The following is a 21,115-nucleotide window of genomic DNA, read 5'->3' on the forward strand; positions in this document are numbered from 1 at the left end:
ATGATTTTTTTTTTACTTCACTATGATGCGAAAACAATATATATGTATTCAGTAGAAACTGTACTTCAAGTGCCCATACAACCATTCTATTTTTCACTTTCAATACAGTATTTTTCATTTTCAGTACAGTGTTCAATAAATTAACATGAGATATTTATTACTTTATTATAAAATAGGCTTTGTGTTGGATGCTTTTGCCCAGCAGTAGGCAAATGTAAGTGTTCTGAGCATGTTTGAGGTAAGTTAGGCTAAGATAATGATGTTCAGTAGGTTAGATATATTAAATAAATTTTTGACTTACAACATTTTGTATTTACTGTGGGTTTTTCAGGTGGTAACCCCATCGTAAGTCAGTATCATCTGTATTTTTTTTGCATAATCTATTTTGATAGATAGTCATTGTACACTTTTATTGTAGTTAGAGTTATGCAAACTGCTAAACCTGGCTCCTTGGCATAAAAGAAAAGTTCAATTACAAGTTTAAAGCAAAATATTGTAGGAGAACACATTATGTCAGGGGTTTGATAGTAGAAGGGAACTATTAAAGTTGGAAAGTATAGCATAGTCATAAAAGGATTAGAGAGATCATTTTTAATGACCTGAATGTTTATCTTAATCTTGTTTTCTCATTTGTTTATTAACTTTGAGTAAGTCATTAAGGTTTTAAAATACTTTCTTTGAAGTGTAATGTATAACAGACTTTAAAACAGTACACAAATGAAGGGTGTAGTTTGAATGTTTATAATGCAAAGACACCTGTGTAACTGCCAGTTGGAACTAGATAGAACACTTATAGCACTCCAGAAACTTTTACACACATGTGCATTTTATTACTATTTATAGTCACATGTGTGTTCAACTTTAGTAGATATTGTTAATTAATTTTCTAGGCTGGTTGTACGAGGTTGCACTTCCACAGCAACATACGAGTGTTTGTATTTGCTCTGCATTCTTATCAGCACTTGGTCTGATCTTTCATTTTAGTCATTCTGGTGAGCTTAGTAATTTTAGTTTGCATTTTCTTTATGAATGATGAGTACTTTTTAATGTACTTATTGGTCATTGGGATATCCTCTATTGTGAAGGGTCTGTTATTTGCACATTTAAAAAAATTGGGTTATCTTATTGATTTATGAGACTTTTATTTTGGATACGAGTCCTTTGTCAAATATACGTATTACAAATATCTTCTCCTAGGCCAGGTGCAGTGGCTCATGCCTGTAATCCCAGCACCTTGGGAGGCCGAGGCGGGCAGGTCGCCTGAGGTCAGGAGTTCGAGACCAGCCTGGCCAACATGATGACACTCCATCTCTACTAAAAATACAAAAACTAGCTGGACATGGTAGTGTAAGCCTGTACTCCCAGCTACTGAACAGGCTGAGGCAGGAGAATCTCGAACCTGGGAGGCAGAGGTTGCAGTGAGCTGAGATCATGCCACTGTACTCCAGCCTGGGCAACAGAGCGAGACTCTGACTGCAAAAAAAAAAAAAATCAACTTTGTGACTTGCCTTTCACTTTCTTCATGATGTCTTTTGATGAACAGAAGCCCTTAATTTTAATGAAGTTTAATTTAATTACCTTTCTATGATTATTTCTTTTGGTTCATAATTATATATATATATTTTTTTTTAAGAAGACAGGGTTTTGTTCTGTTGCCCAGGCTAGAGTGCAGTGATGCAATCATAGCTCAGTGTAACCTCTAACTCCTGGGCTCAAGCAGCCCTTCTGCCTCAGCCTCCTGAGTAGCTGTGACTACATGTGTGTGCCGCCAGTGGCTAATTTTTAAATTTTTTTTGTAGAGATGGGGTCTTGCTATGTTGCCCAGGCTAGTCTTGAACTCCTGACTGCAAGTGACCCTCCCACCTTGGCCTTCCAAAATGCTGGGATTTACAGGCGTGAGCCAGTGCCCCCAGCCTATTTATGAAATTTTTGCTCAACCTGTGGTCATGAAAATACTCTGTTTTCTACTGAAAGCTTTGTTTTCCTTTTCTATTTTAGGTGTATGATCTTTCTGGAATTTATTCTTGTACAAGGTGCTTATGTGAAGTAGGGACGTGTTCTTTCTCCATTGCATTATGATTGTACCCTTGTTTTTTTATTCTTTTTTTTTTTTGAGACAGGGTCTTGCTCTGTCACCCAGGCTGGAGTGCAGTGGTGCCATCATGGCTCACTGCAACCTCGACTTCTCAGGCTCCAGTGATCCTCCCACTGCAGCCTCTGGAGTAGCTGGGACCACAGGTGCGTGCCACCATGCCTGGCTAATTTTTGTATTTTTTGGTAGAGACAGGGTTTCGCCATGTTGATCAGACTGGTCTCGAACTCCTGAGCTCAAGCAGTCCAACTCTCTTGGCCTCCCAAAGTGCTGGTATTACAGTCACCACGCCCAGCTAAATTTTGTATTTTTAGTAGAGACAGGGTTTTGCCATGTTGTCCAGGCTGGTATTGAACTCCTGGCCTCAAGTGATCTTCCTGCCTCGGCCTCCCAGAGTGCAGGGATTACAGGCGTGAGCTACTGTGTCCAGCCTCACACTTTGTTTTCTGTGTGTCTTGTTATTTGTCCCCTTTTTTTTCTTTCTTGCTTTACTTTGGATTACAGTAGTTTCTTCTTATCTGCAGGTGATAGGTTCCAAGACTCCCAGTGGATGCCTGAAACTGCAGATAGTCCTGAGTCCTTTATTTAGTATGTTTTTTTTTTCAGTCTGATAACAAGATAGCTACTAGATGTCTAGTGGGCAGGTAGCATGTACAGCATGGGTGTGCTTGACAAAGGAATAATTCATGTCCCAGGCCAGACAGGGCAGGACAGCATGAGATTTCATCATGCTATTCAGGATGCTACGCTATTCAAAACCTGTGAATTTTCCATTCCATTCATTGAATCTGCTTCATTGATGGTAGATTACTGAAACCATGGAAAGTAAGGGAGGACAACTATATTCAAGACATTTTTTATTACTCAGTTTTACTCTAAAATGTTTAGTATGTTTTCATTACTTAAGTGATTATAACATGGACCCTTGATATTCTTGTATTAGTACTTTACTTTTTTTAAGAAAACTTTGTTTTGTTTTGTTTTTAGAGACAGGGTCTTGCTCCGTTGCCCAGGCTGGAATGCAGTGGCACAATCATAACTCACTGCAGCCTCGAACTGCTGGGCTCAAGAAATCCTCCTGTCTCAGCCTCCTGAGTACCTCAGACTACAGGTGTATGCCACCATGTTCTGCTAATGTTTTTTAGTTCTACTTTTTTGTAGAGATGGGATCTTGCTATGTTGCCCAGGCTTATCTTGAACTCCTGGCCCCAAGCAGTCCTTCTATCTCAGCCTCCCAAAGGATTGGGATTACAGGCATGAGCCACGACGGCTGGCCCTTTACTTTTTCTAGTTAATGCCAGAACCTTGTAGTAATACGTTAATTCTGTGTAATCCCTCTTGTCTTTAATGCTATTGTTGTTGTGTGCTTTAATTTAATTTAATTAATTTAATTCTGATACCCAGAATGAAAAACCTTAAAATGAGGCATTAAAATTTAATGTACGTTTACTATTTAAAAAAATATTTAAGAGACAAGGACTTGTTCTGTTGCTCAGGCTGGAGTGCAGTGGTGCAATCATAGCTCACTGCAGCCTTGACCTCTTGGGCTCATAGGATCCTTCTGCATTGGCCTCCCCAAAGTGCTGGTATTACAGGCCTGAGCCACTGTGCCTGGCCTTAATTTTAAAATTAACAACACATTCATACGTATGTATTCAACATGTATACAGTCTTATACAGTAGTGTTCTCCTTTCCTGTCCAGTAGCTTTCTATTTTCCTTTCTCATACGCAGTCAAAATTATTAGTATTGTGTTTATTCTTTTCGGAGATGTTTAAAATGAAAGATTTAAGCTAGTTGATTTCTGATAAGTCACCCATCCCAGATATTCCCTGATTCTGAATCTCTTGCCCCATAGAATAATCTCACACAGATTTTATGAAAGAAGCCAATGGAGTGGCAATATTTACTTGTATAGATTTTTTTTTAGCTGTGTTTTTTTTTTTCGTAGGCAACTATTTTTACATCAATAAAAGTGAACATCAAATATATTAATTACCTGGATTTGTCTTATTTCCTCTTGCTTACTGTGTGGTGCTTCCCATTTATTCAATTGTGAAGGAATTTTATGCTTCCGACTTATCTGATGTGCCAGTGTACAAGTAATAGAAATAATCTTATTCATTTACCAGAACCAATTAGGGACAGTTGTTTAGAAAACTTTTTATTGTTAAAGTTCACAGTAGTGCCAATATACAAGTAATGGAAATAATCCTTTTTATTTACAAAAACCAATCAGAGACACATGTTTGAAAGGCTTTTTATTAAAATTTACAGTAATGCTTACCTACATTTATTATTAGGTGGCATTCTTTTGCATAATCAATACTTTTTTTTTTTTACAGTGCTCTCTCAGAGGAGGAGAAAACTACTCTGCGTGCAGGGCTCATCACCAACTTCAATGAACCAATAAACCAGGTTAGTGAGAAATGAATGCTAATTTTTCTTTTTATTTGTACTGCTTTTCCAAACTAATTTTATATTCTGGCATTAAAATGAAAAATAAAAATATCACTATTACACTATTTTCATTTGTGATGTTTTTATCTATTTTTAAATTTTGAGATCTATTTGTAGCGTTGAATAGTTTTGATTAGATTTGGTTATTATTTAAAGCCCAGAAGTCATTTTAAGGTATATTTGTATGCTTTTCAGCTTTCTCATTTTATGAGCCTGTATTTAAAGCAAATCTCTCTATATAGTCACGTGATGCCTAATGTTATTTTGGACAACAGTGGACTGCATGTATAATCGTGGTCCCATAGGGTTATAATGGAACTGAAAAGTTCTCACCCATTGACATCATAGCTGTCCTAATATTGTAGTGCAATGAATATATTACTCATTAGTTTGTGGTGATGTTGGTGTAAACAAACCTATTGCACTGCTGCTAGTCTCACAAAAGTATAGCATATACAACTATTACACATTCTGTGATATTCACACAACCACAGAATTGCCCAGTGACACATTTCTCAGAACATATCTCTGTTGTTAAGTGATACATGGTTATATTTGTAGTCTTACTGCACAAGAATTAATTTTAATGATTATAATTTTTAGATTAACTTCCCCACCATTTAAAAAAAAAAAAAACAACTCAGAATGGCTTCAGGTTTTTTTCTATTGGTTGCATCCATCACATTTTCAATTCCTACTATTCTGTGGCAGCTAGATAGTAAATTATGTACAGCTTTATCTTTTTTTTTATATTGAGGTCTTCTAAGAATAAAATAAGTTTTACTTATAGGTACAATAATTCTTAAGTTTTTTCAAGATAATACTTGGTTATGCTTGATTTTTTAAATTGAGCTATTAAAGCACAATTTGGCAGTATTTCTAATACAATTTTATTTTGACCTGTTTAAATGATCTCTGTTCTTTGCTCTTTCTTGACAAAGGAGCTGAAGCATAATGGAGAAAAACGGAGTTACCTTTAATGGGGCAGGAGGTGATTAGGGAGGGGTTTGTGTTACTGAGCAGTGAACAACTGCCTAATTGTTCTTTCAGCTAGCATTTGGGAAACACTGATATGTAGAAATATCATTATTTAAATGCCCAATATTTGGCGTTTCTTTCTACTTTTAGGTCAGGATTCCTAAACTTTGTGGTCACAGGATCTCGTTATACTGCTAAAATTGAAGACCTTAAAGAGTTATATCTGTTGATATTTACTGTATTATAAATTAAAACTGAGAAACTTAAAAATATTCGTGTAAAAAATAAAATACTCATCAACATAGCAGTTTTGGAAATGAGCAATAGTAGCTATTTCCAAAACAATAAAAATTAGTGAGAAAGGTGGCATTGGCTTGCATTTTTAGGGTCTGGCTATTTAAGGGAAGACATCTAGGTTTTCATATCTGCTTCTTCATTTACTCTGTTGTGATACATGGTGGACATTATATGAAGAAAACCTCGTTTCACACTGACAGATAATTGGGTAAAGGAGGACCTCATAGGTCCCAGAAAGGGTCCTAGCTCTACCAGGGGTCCATGGGCCACACTTTGAGAACCACTGTTTAAGCAGTCATTCAGTGAAATCGTATTCATTTTTGTCAAGTGTATAATTAACAAGGTGATTTGTCACCGTGAATGCATTCCTTATCTATTGCCTTGATTCCATTTGTTTAATTTTTTCCTTTCAGATTGCAACTCAGATTGCAGTGCTCATTGCAAAAGTTGCTAGATTGGATTGTCCCAGACAGTGGCCTGAACTAATTCCCACTCTTATAGAGTCTGTTAAAGTCCAGGATGATCTTCGACAGCACAGAGCATTACTTACCTTCTATCATGTTACCAAGACACTGGCATCTAAACGACTTGCTGCTGATAGAAAACTATTTTATGATGTAAGTGATTTCACATAGTTAAATTTGATTATGAAAATTGTGCGGCCGGGCGTGGTGGCTTATGCCTGTAATCTCAGCACTTTGGGAGGCCGAGGCGGGTGGATCACGAGGTCAGGCCTGGCCAATATGGTGAAACCCCATCTCTACTAAAAACTACAAAAATTAGCCGGGCGTGGTGGCACACGCCTGTGGTTCCAGCTACTCAGGAGGCTGAAGCAGAACGATCACTTGAACCCAGGAGGTGGAGGTTGCAATGAGCCGTGATTGTGTCACTGCACTCCAGCCTGGGCGACAGGGCGAGACTCCGTCTCAAAAAAAATAAAATAAAATAAAAAAAGAAAATTGTGCTACTTGTAAAAAAAAATGACTATAGTTTTACTTCTGTTGATGTTTTTTGAAAGACTTAATTCTTTCTCATTTTAAGCTGGGCAGTGATATGAATAAAAAGATCACTTAGTTGCCAGTGAGGAGGATTGGTTGTTGGATACACTCTGAAGGCAAGGAGGTCAGTTTGAGGCAAAGGAAGTAGTTCGGATGAGATGATAGGTCTCTTGAATGAAGCTGTAGTAAAGGGAACAATTAGGTGGGCATAGAGTTGACATTTAGGAGGAGAATTGATACGTCTGGGTAACTGAAGGATGTAGGGCAGATATAGGAAGGAGTTTGACGTAAGTAGGGAGTGACAGCCTTTTATCAGGTTTTTTGCACCTTTTTTTTGGTTTTGGGTTCGTGTGTGTGTGTGTGTGTGTGTGTATGTTTTGAGACAGGGTTTTGTTCTGTTTTTGGTGGGGTGTGTGTGTGTGTGTGTGTGTGTGTGTGTGTGTGTGCACGCATTTTGAGACGGGGTTTTGTTCTGTCACCCAGGGTGTAGTACAGTGGCATGATCATAGCTCACTACAGCCTTGACCTCCTTGGCTCAAACCATCCTCCTACCTCAGCCTCACGAGTAGCTAGGACTACAGGTACATGCCACCATGCCCAGATGGTTTTTTAATTTTTTTTAGAGATGAAGTCTCACTATGTTACCCATGCTTTAAAGTGTTTTTAACAGTGTTCTTTGTTACCTTCTGTAATTGTAGAGAAATTAAAGGTATATAATTTTAAGTCTTATTATACGGTCACATGATAGGGCTCAAGAAACTATTTCAGGTCTGTTCTGAATCATGCTGCCCTCCAAAAAAGAAGAGGGTGACATGGTGTTTTGTAGTTTTGTAGAAAGATTTTTCTTCTTTCTTTTTCTTCTCTAAATGTACTTTAAATATTGCTCATGCCTTTCCCTAAATTAGCGGGCTTTTCCTTGGGAGCTTCCAGAGTTCCTTTTACTTTTGAACTTAGCATGTGGTCTTAAGCAGCTTTTCCTAGACCTCCTTCTGACTTTTGCTCTGGTCTCTACTTCACCATCCATGATTAGAGATGCTTCATTCTTAAAGAAAGAGATAGCCTAGTCCTATAATGTGGAAAGGAGTCAGTGAAGAATATGAAGCATGTGGAAGAGAAGGGATGTAATGGAAGGAGCCAAGTGAAGAGAGAGTTCTAGAAGAAAATACTTGTCCTAGTCTTTTTATGTTGCCTTTATTCTTTCACAAAGAATTGGCCAACTTTTTGTTCTGAGGACTCAATTTTGTCTTGGGCTCACAGTGTAGAGCCTCTTGTTTGAGTATGGACTAGGGAAGGGGGTGGGAAAAGCAGTGTATAACCTTGAGCTGTCTTCCATGTCAAAAACATTCGTTTTCAATCTGTTATACACAGACTGAGAGGTTTCTGAACCACACCTTTGGAATCCTCACTTTGAGGATTATGGCTTGGCAATTTGCATTTTTAACAAGCTCCCCATAGAATTTTTATATACACCAAAGTTTACGTCACACCACATTGTGTCCTTTTCATTTTTAACTCAATGGGTTTAAATAGCCAGTCTTGGCTGGGTGCGGTGGCTCATGCCTGTAATCCCAGCACTTTGGGAGGCTGAGGCGAGTGGATCATGAGGTCAGGAGATCGAGACCATCCTGGCTAATGGTGAAACCCTATCTCTACTAAAAATACAAAAAAAAAATAGCCGGGCGTGGTGGCACGCGCCTGTAGTCCCAGCTACTCAGGAGGCTGAGGCAGGAGAATGACGTGAACCTAGGAGGTGGAGCTTGCAGTGAGCCGAGATTGCACCACTGCACTCCAGCCTGGGTGACAGAGCGAGACTCCATCTCAAATAAAAAATAAATAAATAAATAGCCAGTCTTATGTTCATCCTAGGATATTGTATGTAAGAGAAATTATTTTTGATAGTCTAAGGTTGTTTTTCAAATCCTTTTCACTTTTGCTTGATTTCTAGCGAGGACTAAGGAAATGGACCGTTCACTCACTCAAGTCTTTCTGTGAAATTGTCTTTCCTTTTCCTCTGTTTTGTCCTCACCTCAAACCCTTCACTTCTAGGACTTACTTTTTTGTTGGGGAGAGTCTCAAAATCAATTGTCTAGAAGATTCTTGGTTACAGTTAACTGTTATTAAAGGCTACCAGTCTATAGAAGTTTTAATTCCTATTTCAACTTTATCAAAGTTCACTCTCTAATATGTTGCCTTACAGGTATACTTTATATTTAGTCGAGGCAATCTCCACAGATTGTACAGATAATCAGGGCCTTAAGCTGGATAGCTTGTGTGAGTTAGCTTCTTGCTTGTTTTTTTTTGTAGTATGAGGCTAGTTCTTCTCCATATAGAAAGAAGTATATGCTTAATTAGCATCTTGTAGTTACTTTCAGTGTAGTAGTTACCACATTGTGCTGACTTGTAATTGTCGACTTATTTTTCTCAGATTCACTACAGTGTAGCTTTTATTGCTGTCATCCTACTGCATGGTCTGAAAGAGTACACATAATGATTGATGCTCAATAACTGTTAAGTGAATGAACAATAGAACAGGAGACTTATTCTTATTAGATGCCTGCTGGATTTCAGAGTGATATAGGGCAAAACTTCCAAAAGCAGGATTTTTGAGAGATTAGTCAGAGCTAGAGATACCTGGAAAAAATTCAGATTAGCACTTTTTATTTTGGAATGGAGCAGCTGAACCTGGAGATAGGGACTAAAGTAGGGACTAGGAAGGGTATCCTGTCTAATGCGGTTGAGGTACAAGATGTGTAGTTAATTGAAGGTAGCATTTGTGGGAAGACATCATTATAAAGAGCAATTTTGCTGGTTAATACAGCTGTGCCTATTATTTTGGTAATCTGAAGCATGGAAAATCTTCCTTTTAATAATAAAGGAAGATGCAAAGATGGTCCTCAAGTACCAAATTAGTTTCCTACATAAAAAAATGTAAGGGCTGGGCTCACGCCTGTAGTCCCAGCACTGGGAGGCCGTGGTGGGCAGATCACCTGAGGTTGGGAGTTCGAGACCAGCCTGGGCAACATGGTGAAACCCTGTCTGTACTAAAAATACAAAAAAAATTAGCTGGGCATGGTGGCGCACGCCTGTAATCCCAGCTACTCAGGAGGCTGAGGCAGGAGAATCAGTTGAACCCAGGAGGCGGAGGCTGCAGTGAACCGAGATTGCGCCACTATACTCCAGCCTAGACGACAGAGAGAGAGTGTCTCAAAAGAAGAAAAAAATATTAAGCTCATGGTTGAGCTGGTTGCTATAGCAAAGTGTAGTGCACAGGGTACACTTAAAATTGCTACCTGCGGCTCAGTGTGCCTCAACAATTGTTATAACCTTTCCTCCTCTGTGTTAAAATAAGTTCTTTTGAGGGGTGACAAATTACGAAATCAGCAGTTGAGAGCAAATTGTTTTGCAGTAACAAAATTGAGCTTGATTTGACACAAAAAGGAATTCTTTTTTTTTTTTGAGAGAGAGAGAGGTGCTGTCTTGGCTCACTACAACCTTTGCTTCCTAGCTTCAAGCAATTCTTGTTCCTTAGCCTCCTGAGTAGCTAGGATTACAGACATGCGCCACCATGCCCAGCTAATTTTTGTATTTTTAGTAGAGATAGGGTTTCGTCATGTTGCCCAGGTTGGCCTCAAACTCCTAGCCTCAAGCGATCCACCTGTCTCAGCCTCCCAAAGTGCTGGGATTACAGGCGTGTACCACTGTGCCTGGCCAGGAATTCATTTTCTTTTTTTTGAGAAGGGGTCTCGCTTTGTTGCCCAGACTGGAGTGCAGGTGCACGACCTTGGCTCACTGTAACCTCCACCTCCCAGGTTCAGCACCTCCTAGTAGCTGGGTTTACAGGTGCACGTCACCATGCCTGGCTAATTTTTGTGTTTTTGGTAGAGATGGGGTTTTGCCATGTTGGCCAGGCTGGTCTCCAACTCCTGACCTCAGGTGATCCACTCTCCCATAATGCTGGGATCACAGGCGTGAGCCACCATGCTCGGCCAGGAATTCATTTTCTGTAAAACAGTATGCCTTTACATATAAACCTAAATATAATAAAATGGACATTAACCACTGTTAAAATCCAAAGTCACTAAAAATAAGGAAATTTAAGGTACAGGGAGCAATTGTAATGAAGTTGGAAGTATGTTAAAGTAAATAATGTCCCCAAATCACGATGTGTAACACACAAAAGTATATGCTGCATAGTGCAGTGGCACAAACATAGGTGTCTACAACCTTGACCTCCTAGGCTCAAGCAATCCTCTCACCTCAGCCTCCCAAGTAGCTGGGACCACAGGCACGTACGACGATGCCCGGCCTGGATATTAGGGATTAATCTTAAATTTTTACTTCTGTCTTAACAGTCACTCAACAGTTATTGAATGCTGACTGTGTACAAGAGATATGTACAATATTGTGGGAGACAGAAGACAGAATTAGTAGTCTCTTGACAGTTCATGTGGAAGAACGCAACCCCCCTATTTAGTAAGCTATTAAAATCTGATGTGGGGCCGGGTGCGGTGGCTCACGCCTGTAATCCTGGCACTTTAGGAGGCTGAGGCGGGTGGATCATGAGGTCAGGAGTTCAAGACCAGCCTGGCCAACATGGTGAAACCCCGTCTGTACTAAAAATACAAAAATTAGCCGGGTGCCTGTAATCCCACCTACTCGGGAGCCTGAGGCAGGACAATTGCTTCAACCTGGGAGGCGGAGGTTGCAGTGAGCCGAGATCACGCCACTGCACTGTAGCCTGGGCAACAGAGCAAGACTCTGTCTCTGGGGTGGGGGGGAAAATATCTGCCATGGAAGAAAACAAAACTATATTGCATTGTTATTATGGTCATGGCTAAAACTTAGCTGAATTTTAAAAGCTGAAAGGTTTATGATGAATAATGTTCTCATTAGGCTGGGCATGGTGACTCATGCCTGTAATCCCAGCACTTTGGAAAGCTGAGGTGGGAGGATCCTTGGGGCCAGGAGTTTGAGACTAGTCTAGGCAACATAGTGAGATCCTACCTCTACAAAAAATAAAAAAATTAGGCATGGTGGTGTATGTATGTCATTCTGGTTACTTGGGAGGCTGAGGCGGCAGGATCACTTAAGCCTAGGAGTTTGAGGCTGTAGTGATATATGATTGTACTAGCCTTGAAGACTGAGTTAGACCATGTGTCTAAAACATAATAATAATAGTGTTTCTGCTAAACAACACATGAATTATTTGGATGGTAAGGGTAAAAGAATGCTGTGTGGCAAGGTGAAGTCAAGTTACAATACTTCAGAAGGTCATCGTGATGAATTACTATATTTTCTACACAAAGGAGAACTGCATAGCTGCTTTGAGATGGGTTGGTTAGTGTAAGATAGATCACTCACCCTCATAGCAGAGACTTGCAGACTTACTCCTTGTCAGCTTAAGACTTCATGATGTGGTCCTTAGGGGAAATTTCCAAATAATTGAAATTATGAATGCTAAATTTGAGAATGCCAAGGCGCCACTTCCATGGTGTAGCTCCAGCCTGTAAGATATTTACAGTGCTGTAAAATTTATTTAAAAGATAAATGCCGGCCGGGCGCGGTGGCTCACGCCTGTAATCCCAGCCCTTTGGGAGGCCGAGGAGGGCGGATCACGAGGTCAGGAGATCGAGACCATCCTGGCTAACACGGTGAAACCCTGTCTCTACTAAAAATACAAAAATTAGCTGGGCGTGGTGGTGGGCGCCTGTAGTCCCAGCTACTCGGGAGGCTGAGGCAGGAGAATGGCGTGAATCGGGGAGGCGGAGCTTGCAGTGAGCTGAGATCGCGCCACTGCACTCCAGCCTGGGCGACAGAGCGAGACTCTGTCTCAAAAAAAAAAAAAAAAAAAGATAAATGCCTTTGTGAGCAAGTCATCAAATAGGTTTAATAGATCTTATTTTCACTTTTGTTTTGTTGATTTTAATTGTACATTAAATGCCATGTTGATTCTGTTTCTTATCTCTTGCTCTGTGTAATTTTATAGTGGCTTTTTTTCCCCCTGGGGATTGAGTCTTGCTGTGTCACCCAGGCTGGAGTGCAGTGGTGCAATCTCAGCTCACTGCAACTTCTACCTGCCAGGTTTAAGTGATTGTCCTGCCTCAGCCTCCTGAGTAGCTGGGATTACAGGTGCATGCCGCTATGCCCGGCTAATTTTTGTACTTTTAGTAGGGACAGGGTTTTGCCACATTGGCCAGGCTGGTCTCAAACTTCTGACCTCAAATGATCTGCCCGCCTTGACCTCCCGAAGTGTTAGGATTACAGGCATGAGCCACTGCGCCCCGCCTATATTGGCTTTTTAAGTGCATTATTTAAAGAGTGACTCTCTTAAAGGGTCATTTGTGCTGTGAACCTGTGGGGATTTGAGCCTGTGCATGTGTGTGTCTAGGCTTATATTAGTATCAAGGTGAAAAAGAACTTTTTGGTGGGAAGTTACTTTAGTGGAGGAGACTCAAGGTGACAGACTTGGTTCAAAAGAAAAGAGCTGTGCGCTGAACAGAAGAGATTTTGAATATAGCATGGTGCGTACTCTTCCTGTATTGATTCATAAAGCCTCTTGTCTGAGTCCTAGTTAAGGGCCTGGAATAAGAATGAAAATTCCAAAACTATCCCCCAAGTATCTAAAAGTTGCTTTTGAAACAGTGCTGATTTATACCTTACCCATCCATCTATTTATCTGACAAATATTTGGATTCTTACTCTATGCAATCACTTCACGGGATGCCTGAGATAGAGCTGTGGAAAGGTAAGGGCCCACCCAGGGAGTAGAGTAGTTTTACTCTTTTTTTTTTGTTCCTCCTCCTTACTGAGTTGATATTTTGGATACATGAGAACAGTGTGTAGGCATTAAGTGGCTGAAGAGAGGCGTAAGGCTGTTGCTAGGATAAGAGACTTAGGGAACTGAAAGATGGGCCACAGTGTCCCTCCTGGGCCTGAGCTATATCACTGGCAGGTTTGAAAACAAAATGAAAATTAGATTTTACTTTAAAAAGCATGTAAGTAACAAATGCTATAGGTCTTTAGGAATGTCCTTCATTGACATTCCTTCATTGACATTTTTGAGACTCTGTCTCAAAAATAAATAAATAAATAAATAAATATTAGTTGAGAGACATCAGCAGTTTGGCTGGAAATTGCTTTTGAGATAGATCTTGTACCTACTAAAGCTTCTGGCTTGATACATTTTGGTAATTTAATATATATTTATGTCATAGGTAAGTGGAAGCGAATTTATACTTAAGCCTTTTTTTTTTTGAGACGGAGTCTTGCTCTGTTACCCAGGCTGGAGTGCAGTGGTGCAATCTTGGTTCACTGCAATCTCTGCCTCCCGGGTTCAAGCAGTTCTTCTGCCTCAGCCTCCCAAGTAGCTGGGACTACAGGCGTGTGCCACCATGCCTGGTTAATTTTGTATTTTTAGTAGAGGCAGGGGTTTCACCATATTGGCCAGGCTGGTCACGAACTCCTGAGCTTATGGTCTGCCAGCCTTGGCCTCCCAAAGTGCTGGGATTACAGGCCTGAGCCACCTCACCTGGCCTACTTAAGCCTTATTAACAAAAAAACGGATTATTACTAAAATAACCTTTTTAGTTATTGTTAAGAATACAGGTGTTTTTAAAATTGAAAATACATTTTAAAAACATGGAAAAGTAAAGAAAAATATTAACTGCCATGTAACTATTACCTAGATCTAATAGTCAACATTTTGCTGTTTTTGCTTTCTGACTTTTTTTGAGCTATTTTAAAGGAATTTAAATATTTTTTTAACTAAATTCTTCAACATTTATCTGTGAAAAGATAGATTTATTTTTTAAGTATTTAACTTTTATCATCCTGAAGAAGTAAAAAGTAATTTAATATCATTTAATACTTTTATCCAGTTTTCTAGATTGTTCTCAAACACATTTTTACAAGTGGCTTGAGCCAGAAAAATGAATAAGGTGCATTTGACATGTCTTACAAATCTTTTAATTTTGAATAGTATTGACTTCCTCCCTCTCCCCCTTAAAAATGCCATTGACTTGTTAAAAAAAAACTAGATTAGTTGTCTTGTAGGATGCTCTGCCTCCTACATTTGTTGATTAATATACCTTGCTGATTAGGTTCAGGCTAAGCAGATTTGGGCATCTATAGCGAATATTTTTTGTCTCAGTATTCGTGATGAATTATTTAATACATGAACTTTGATGTAAAACTTTTTTGGTGCTAATGTTTCTTAAGGGAAAATTATGAAGACAACAATTCTGAGGCTAAAAAAGTTTAAGAATATTTGAAATGCTAAAATACTTAGTGTGTAATGGTTAGCTTTTGATACTTTGGAGTCAAGGCTTTGGGCTTCTCAGTTACAGCCACTAAACAGTCAGTAGGTGGCACTGTTTCTTCTGGTTTAGAAATAGAAAATGTTAAGTATTTGGGGGTTTCATGAACTAGTACCTAACATGTTTCATTAAACAGTTTATTTGCATATTGTCTCACTGAATATTCCTTCCCCCCTCCACATTTTTAGAATCACATGTAGAAAAAAATATTTTTATTTCTCCTACTTGGTTGCTTTATTACTTACTCTTTTCCAGCTGAGCCTTCTGTAAGCATGTATCAGTTGGTGTTTTCTGGAGCAGATAGGAGGTATACAGGGCTTGTGAATATATTAGTTGGCAATGGTTACTTCCTGTGGTTTCTTCTTTATTCCTGTTGTTTCTTCTTTCTTTATCTCTCTCCCTGCTTTTACTGAAAGGTAAAGGGCTGAAAGGTGTTAAAGAAAAACTTTTCAAACACTTGTAAAGGATGATAAGACAGACTTTATTCAGATGGGACTACTGCAGTGGGGTTTTGCAGTAGGGGAGAGAAATTGTGCTCAACTCTGAATACAAGGAAAAGTGGGAATTTATTGCCAAGGAGCAGGGATGGAAAGGGTGGGAGGTTGGGGGGATGGGGGGTTGAGAGGATGGAAAATTACTAAAAAGAATCATCAGGGATGAGAGGGGGTTCCTGGCCAAACTGACCTAATAGGATTCTTGCCGAAAGCAACCTGATGAGATATTGATGATATCAATGTCAAGGATAGGGGATTCTGGCTAAACCAACATAGCAAGATTTCTTGCTAAAATTGGGTGACGCAAAGAACAGACATTTTGGAAGTCCAAAAGTAGAAGCCTAGTTAGGACAAAGATTCAGAAAAGCCTCACTAAAGTTTGGTTAAGGAGAGGCTGTTTGTCGAAAGATAGTGCCGTTGCTTCTTCATTCCAGCCATTTGTGTAGAGACCTTTCGTAGGCTAGCTAGAGAGTCTTGAATTAGAACTTTAAGAGATGCCTGATGTCCTTGACTATTAGGTTTTTGTTTTTAAATTTCCATACTATTGTTTCTTTTTAAATTTCTGTCTCAAATGCTATATGCCTTCATTTAGCAATACCTGCTGTGTGCCAGGCATCTTATGTGCTTTTCGTATCTGTAGTCCTTAAAGTACAGGTTAAGTACTTCTTATCTGCAATGCTTGGGAACAGAAATGTTTCAGATTTTTTTCAGATTTTGTAATATTTACATTATACTTACGTTGAACATCTCAAATGTGAAAATCTGAAAATTGAAACACTCTAGTGAGCATTTCCCTTGAGCATCGTGCTGGTACTCAAAGTTAAGGATTTTGAAGCAAATACTTCGGGTTTTCAGATTTGAGATATTTTAGCCTGTAGTTCTCTCATATTAAGTATTACTTTCTAGGGACAGAAAGAGGGAAGAATTAATTAATAGATCGAGATCTAACTTTGCCATTAATATCTATAAATCTTACTTATTTTTGTGAGAAGTAGAGATGAAAATTTCAAAATTGAAAGTTGCTTAAGGTGAAATAGAGTGGAATTACTGAATTACTGAACTTTCTAACACATTTTTAGAGTCAAATGATAAATAGAAAAGGAGATGATTTTATGGAACAGAATAGAATTTTTTTTTAATGACTTTGAGTCCACCATGTTTAAATGCTTCCTTTTATTCAGTCTTGTCACAGTAACAACCTTTGGTATAGTATTCAGAGATGTTCTTTGGTACTTTTTATTCTTTGTTTTGTAGGTGAGTGGGGAGGATTTTATGTTGAATATGTCTACTGTGATTTGCATTGTGTGTATGCAAGTGGTAGAATTCTGCAAAGAGATATTCTGGTAACAGAAGCAATGCCTGAAAAAAAAAAAAGAACAGTTTTGCCCCTTTGCTACCATTATTAAAAAAAATACTGTTTTTATTTTTTACAGACAGGGTTTTGTCTCCCAAGCTAGAGTTCAATGGTACACTCATAGCTCACTGCAACCTCAAGCTCCTGGGCTCAAGCAATCCTCCTGTCTCAGCCTCCTGAGTAGCTGGGATTACAGGCATGAGCCACTATGCCCGGCCACTATAAAATACTTCAGAAAAATCTGACACAATTTCAAAATATGTGGTTATGTAGGGTGGCAAATTCTCCCTTAATGTTTTCTTTCTTGAGCCTGTGCCTGTTTTATTTGGCTGACTCTTTTTTTTTTCTTTTTCAAGCTTAATCTTACTTTTAATTGAGGAACTAGGGGATAGTTACTGTCACCATCCTTTTTTTTTTTTCAGTGAGTCTGGCATGTAGTGGTAGTGGGGGGTATTGAGAATTAGATAAAAGGTCTATGGCTCTTACGACTAGTGAATGGGACTAGTTCTAATTTACACACATATATTACTTATATGTATATGAATATATGTGTATATATAAGAAAAACATTCAATTTATTTTTAGAGACAGTGTCTCACTCTTGTCCTGGCTGGAGTGCTGTGGTGTGATCATAGCTCACTGCAGCCCTGAACTCCTGGGTTCAAATGATCCTCCCACCTCAGCCTTGCAAGTAGCCGAGATTACAGGCATGTGCCACCATGTCCAGCTAATTTGTTAAGAAACATTTTGTAGAAAAAGGGTCTCACTTTGTTGCCTAGGTGGGTCTTCAACTCCTTACCTCAAGTGATCCTCTTGCCTTAGCCTCCCAAAGTGCTAGGATTACAGTTGTGAGATACCATGCCCAGGGTGTACTTTATATTTTGATATCAAAAGGTTTAAACAGGGCCAGGCATGGTAGCTTATGCCTGTAATCCCAGCACTTTGGGAGGCTGAGGCAGGAGGATCACTTGAGCCCAGGAGTTTGAGACCAGGCTGGGCAACACAGTGAGATCCTATCTCTACAAAAAATAAAAATAAATATATAAATTAACCTGGTGTGGTGCATCCCTGTAGTCCCAGCTACTCAGGAGGTTGAGGTGAGGGGATTGCTTGAGCCCAGGAGATTGAGGCTGCAGTGAGCCGTGATTGCGCCACTGCACTCTAGCCTGGGCAACAGAGTGAGACTCTTTGTCTCAAAAAAAAAAAAAAGTTTAAACAGAACTTAGTTATACCAAAAATGTTTATCTCTTTTATACAGTGCAGTTAATTGTTAGTTATTGTATTAAGAGACATTAGAGCATAGAAGATAATATATACTGATATACTGAACATACCTTTTACTTCTGTATTTTTTTTTTTTTTTAATGACAGAGTCTCGCTCTGTTACGCAGGCTGGAGAGCAGTGGGGTGATCTCAGCTCAGTGCAACCTCCACCTCCTGGGTTCAAGCATTTCTCCTGCCTTAGCTTCCCGAGTAGCTGGGATTACAGGCACGTGCCACCACGCCCAGCTAATTTTTGTATTTGTAATAGAGACGGCGTTTCGCTGTGTTGGCCAGGCTGGTCTCGAACTCCTGACCTCAGGTGATCCACCTGCCTCGGTCCCCCAGAGTGCTGGGATTACAGGCGTGAGCCACCGCATCTGGTCTATGTGTTTGTTTTTGGTGGTTTTTTTTTTTTTTTTTTTTTTTTTGAGATGCAGTCTTGCTCTGTCGCCAGGCTGGAGTGCAGTGGCGAGATCTCTGCTCTCTGCAACTTCTGCCTCCCGGATTCTCCCGCCTCAGCCTCCCGAGTAGCTGGGACTACAGACGTGTACCACCATGCCCAACTAATTTTTGTGTTTTTAGTAGAGACAGTGTTTCACGATGTTGGCCAGGATGGTCTCGATCTTTTGACCTTGTGATCCTCCTGCCTTGGCCTCCCAAAGTGCTGGGATTACAGGTGTGAGCCACTGTGCCCAGCTGGTTATTTTTTATTGTTGTTGTTTTCTTCGTTTTTTTTTGTTTGTTTTTGAGGCAGGGTCTCACTTTGTCACCCAGATTGGAGTGCAGTGGTGTGATCTCGGCTCACTGCAGCCTCCCTTCCTGGGCTCAAGGCATCCTGGCATCCTCCCGCCATAGCTCCCCAAGTAGCTGGAAGTATAGGCGCACCCCACCATGCCTGGTTAATTTTTTTTGTACTTTTTATAGAGACCGTGTTTCGCCATGTTGCACAGGCTGGTCTCCTGACCCCAGGTGATCATCTGCCTCTGCCTCCCAAAGCACTGACATTACAGGCATGAGCCATCGCGCCTGGTCTGAGCATACCTTTTAAATGAGTTCAAGTGACTTCAGATAATGGCGACACAAAAAATTTCAATATAAAGTCCTTTTAAACAATTTTAATCTATACAGACATTAATGTTAACAGGTAGTTTTAAGGAGATGCAAAGAAAAGCTATAAAATTACTCAAAATGTCGTTTTGTTGTAAGCAAGATATCGGTTTAAAGTATAATAGTTTTTTGGTCTTATTTGAAATTTGGATATGGCACCCTTTGAGTTTTTGTTTTCTTACAAAAAGACACAGTACAAAACGGATCTACAAATTATAGCCAAGGCTATAGATTTCATTTTTGGGGAGTTGAAATATTTGCTACAATAAGAAATTTTACTGTAGTTTAAAATTTAATTTTAGGTGTTTTGTAGAATTCTTACCTCTTCTGCGTCTAAATCCTTCTGTTCGTATTCTTTCACTTTCTTCTGACAAAATATTTTAATGATGTATGTGTTGGGAAAGCTTAGGGTGTTGTATATTACACAGTAAGTACAATAAAATTTAGGATGATAGATATTTTTTCAATTCTGGATATGTATTTCAGTCTTTTATTTTCCAAAAGGACTTACTAAGAAAAATACGAATTCATTTTATGGTTTACTGAAGTTATAAGTAAAGCATGCAAGTTTGTTGAAATAAAGCTTTTTTCCCACTTTTTAAATATTATTTCCCTTCTATCAGAGTGAATGTTTGCTTCTCTGCTATAATACTACTTCATGGGAAAATGTCACTTTCAAACTCTTTTTATGATACAGTGGTTTGTGTTGTAACACTATGAATTGAGAGAATGATCACTAAAGTATTTTGGCTGTAATAAAACATTAGTATTCAACAGTTTGATTTTACTCTTTGAAATATTGCATATATACTTGAGAATATGCTAAAGTAGCTTAATGAGTAGTCATTGTACCTGTTGTGAAGTATACACACAAGATGAGGAAGGGCCAAGGCATCCCTGACTGATTTAGTTTGTAAAGATACAGTGAACCACTTTTAGATTCAGGCAGTTCATTATTTAATTTGGATAGAGAAAGGAAGCACCTACAGGTGCCAGCTTCCTGTGGGCCTTGTCTCATACACCAGAAAGAATGGCACAGAAACAATAGGAGATAGATGACTCTAATGTGACTTGTGGGATGCCTAATTGCTGAGAAGCCAATTCTAGACCATATAGCTCAGTAGTTTTATATTCTGCGGTGTGTTTTAAGGGGAGTAGGGCAGAAAACCTTATACCTCTTCAGAACCTGAGAGGTGATGAGAAACTGTCTCATGATAGCCTAATGGTGCAGATAAAGAGACGAGTAGGAGATGGTCTTGTAAGTTTCTTACAAGCCTTCTATCCTCTTGTGTTCTGGGAGGATCACAGGATGTTTTGCCAAGACTCAGATTAACTGAGGTTCAAGCCTTTGCTAAGCTTGTGTGTTCTGTGTGGATACATGCAAAGTTGCCCTGGGGGATATGGTGAAGCCGTTTTAATGGCACATTAAAAATACTTAAACTAACAAATGGAAATTTGATTTTTTCATAGAAACATGATTTTAACAGGATTGCAGCTCTGGTTTCTGATGCCTGTTCTATAAATAGCATTTAATTAGTCAACATGAGATGCTTATATCTTGAGTAAGAAAAAGCATTCCGAAGTATGCTGATGATAACTAGTCATAAATACTTTTATCTAATTTTAATTTAAAGTAAATAGCCATGTAGACTCAGCTGGATTGCTCCGAGAACTCCTGGAAAAAATTGAAGATGTCACTGGAAGATGTTCTGCCTCAAAGTGTGAGGCAGAGATTAACTACATTCTTAATGTGAGGGT

The 21,115-nt window shown here is 39.2% G+C and overlaps 1 protein-coding gene across 2 annotated transcripts in view; it reads left to right on the forward strand.

Moving 5' to 3' along the window:
• Positions 1 to 21,115, forward strand: part of IPO11 (importin 11) — a 215,820-nt gene that overhangs the window by 32,728 nt on the left and 161,977 nt on the right. For both annotated transcript variants that reach the window (NM_016338.5, NM_001134779.2), the window contains exons 4-5: positions 4,437 to 4,509; positions 6,240 to 6,443. In NM_016338.5, the coding sequence (NP_057422.3) occupies positions 4,437 to 4,509; positions 6,240 to 6,443 (277 nt within the window). The remainder of the gene's footprint in view (positions 1 to 4,436; positions 4,510 to 6,239; positions 6,444 to 21,115) is intronic.

This window comes from Homo sapiens, chromosome 5, assembly GCF_000001405.40.
Source record: "Homo sapiens chromosome 5, GRCh38.p14 Primary Assembly".
Taxonomy (NCBI): Eukaryota; Metazoa; Chordata; class Mammalia; order Primates; family Hominidae; genus Homo; species Homo sapiens.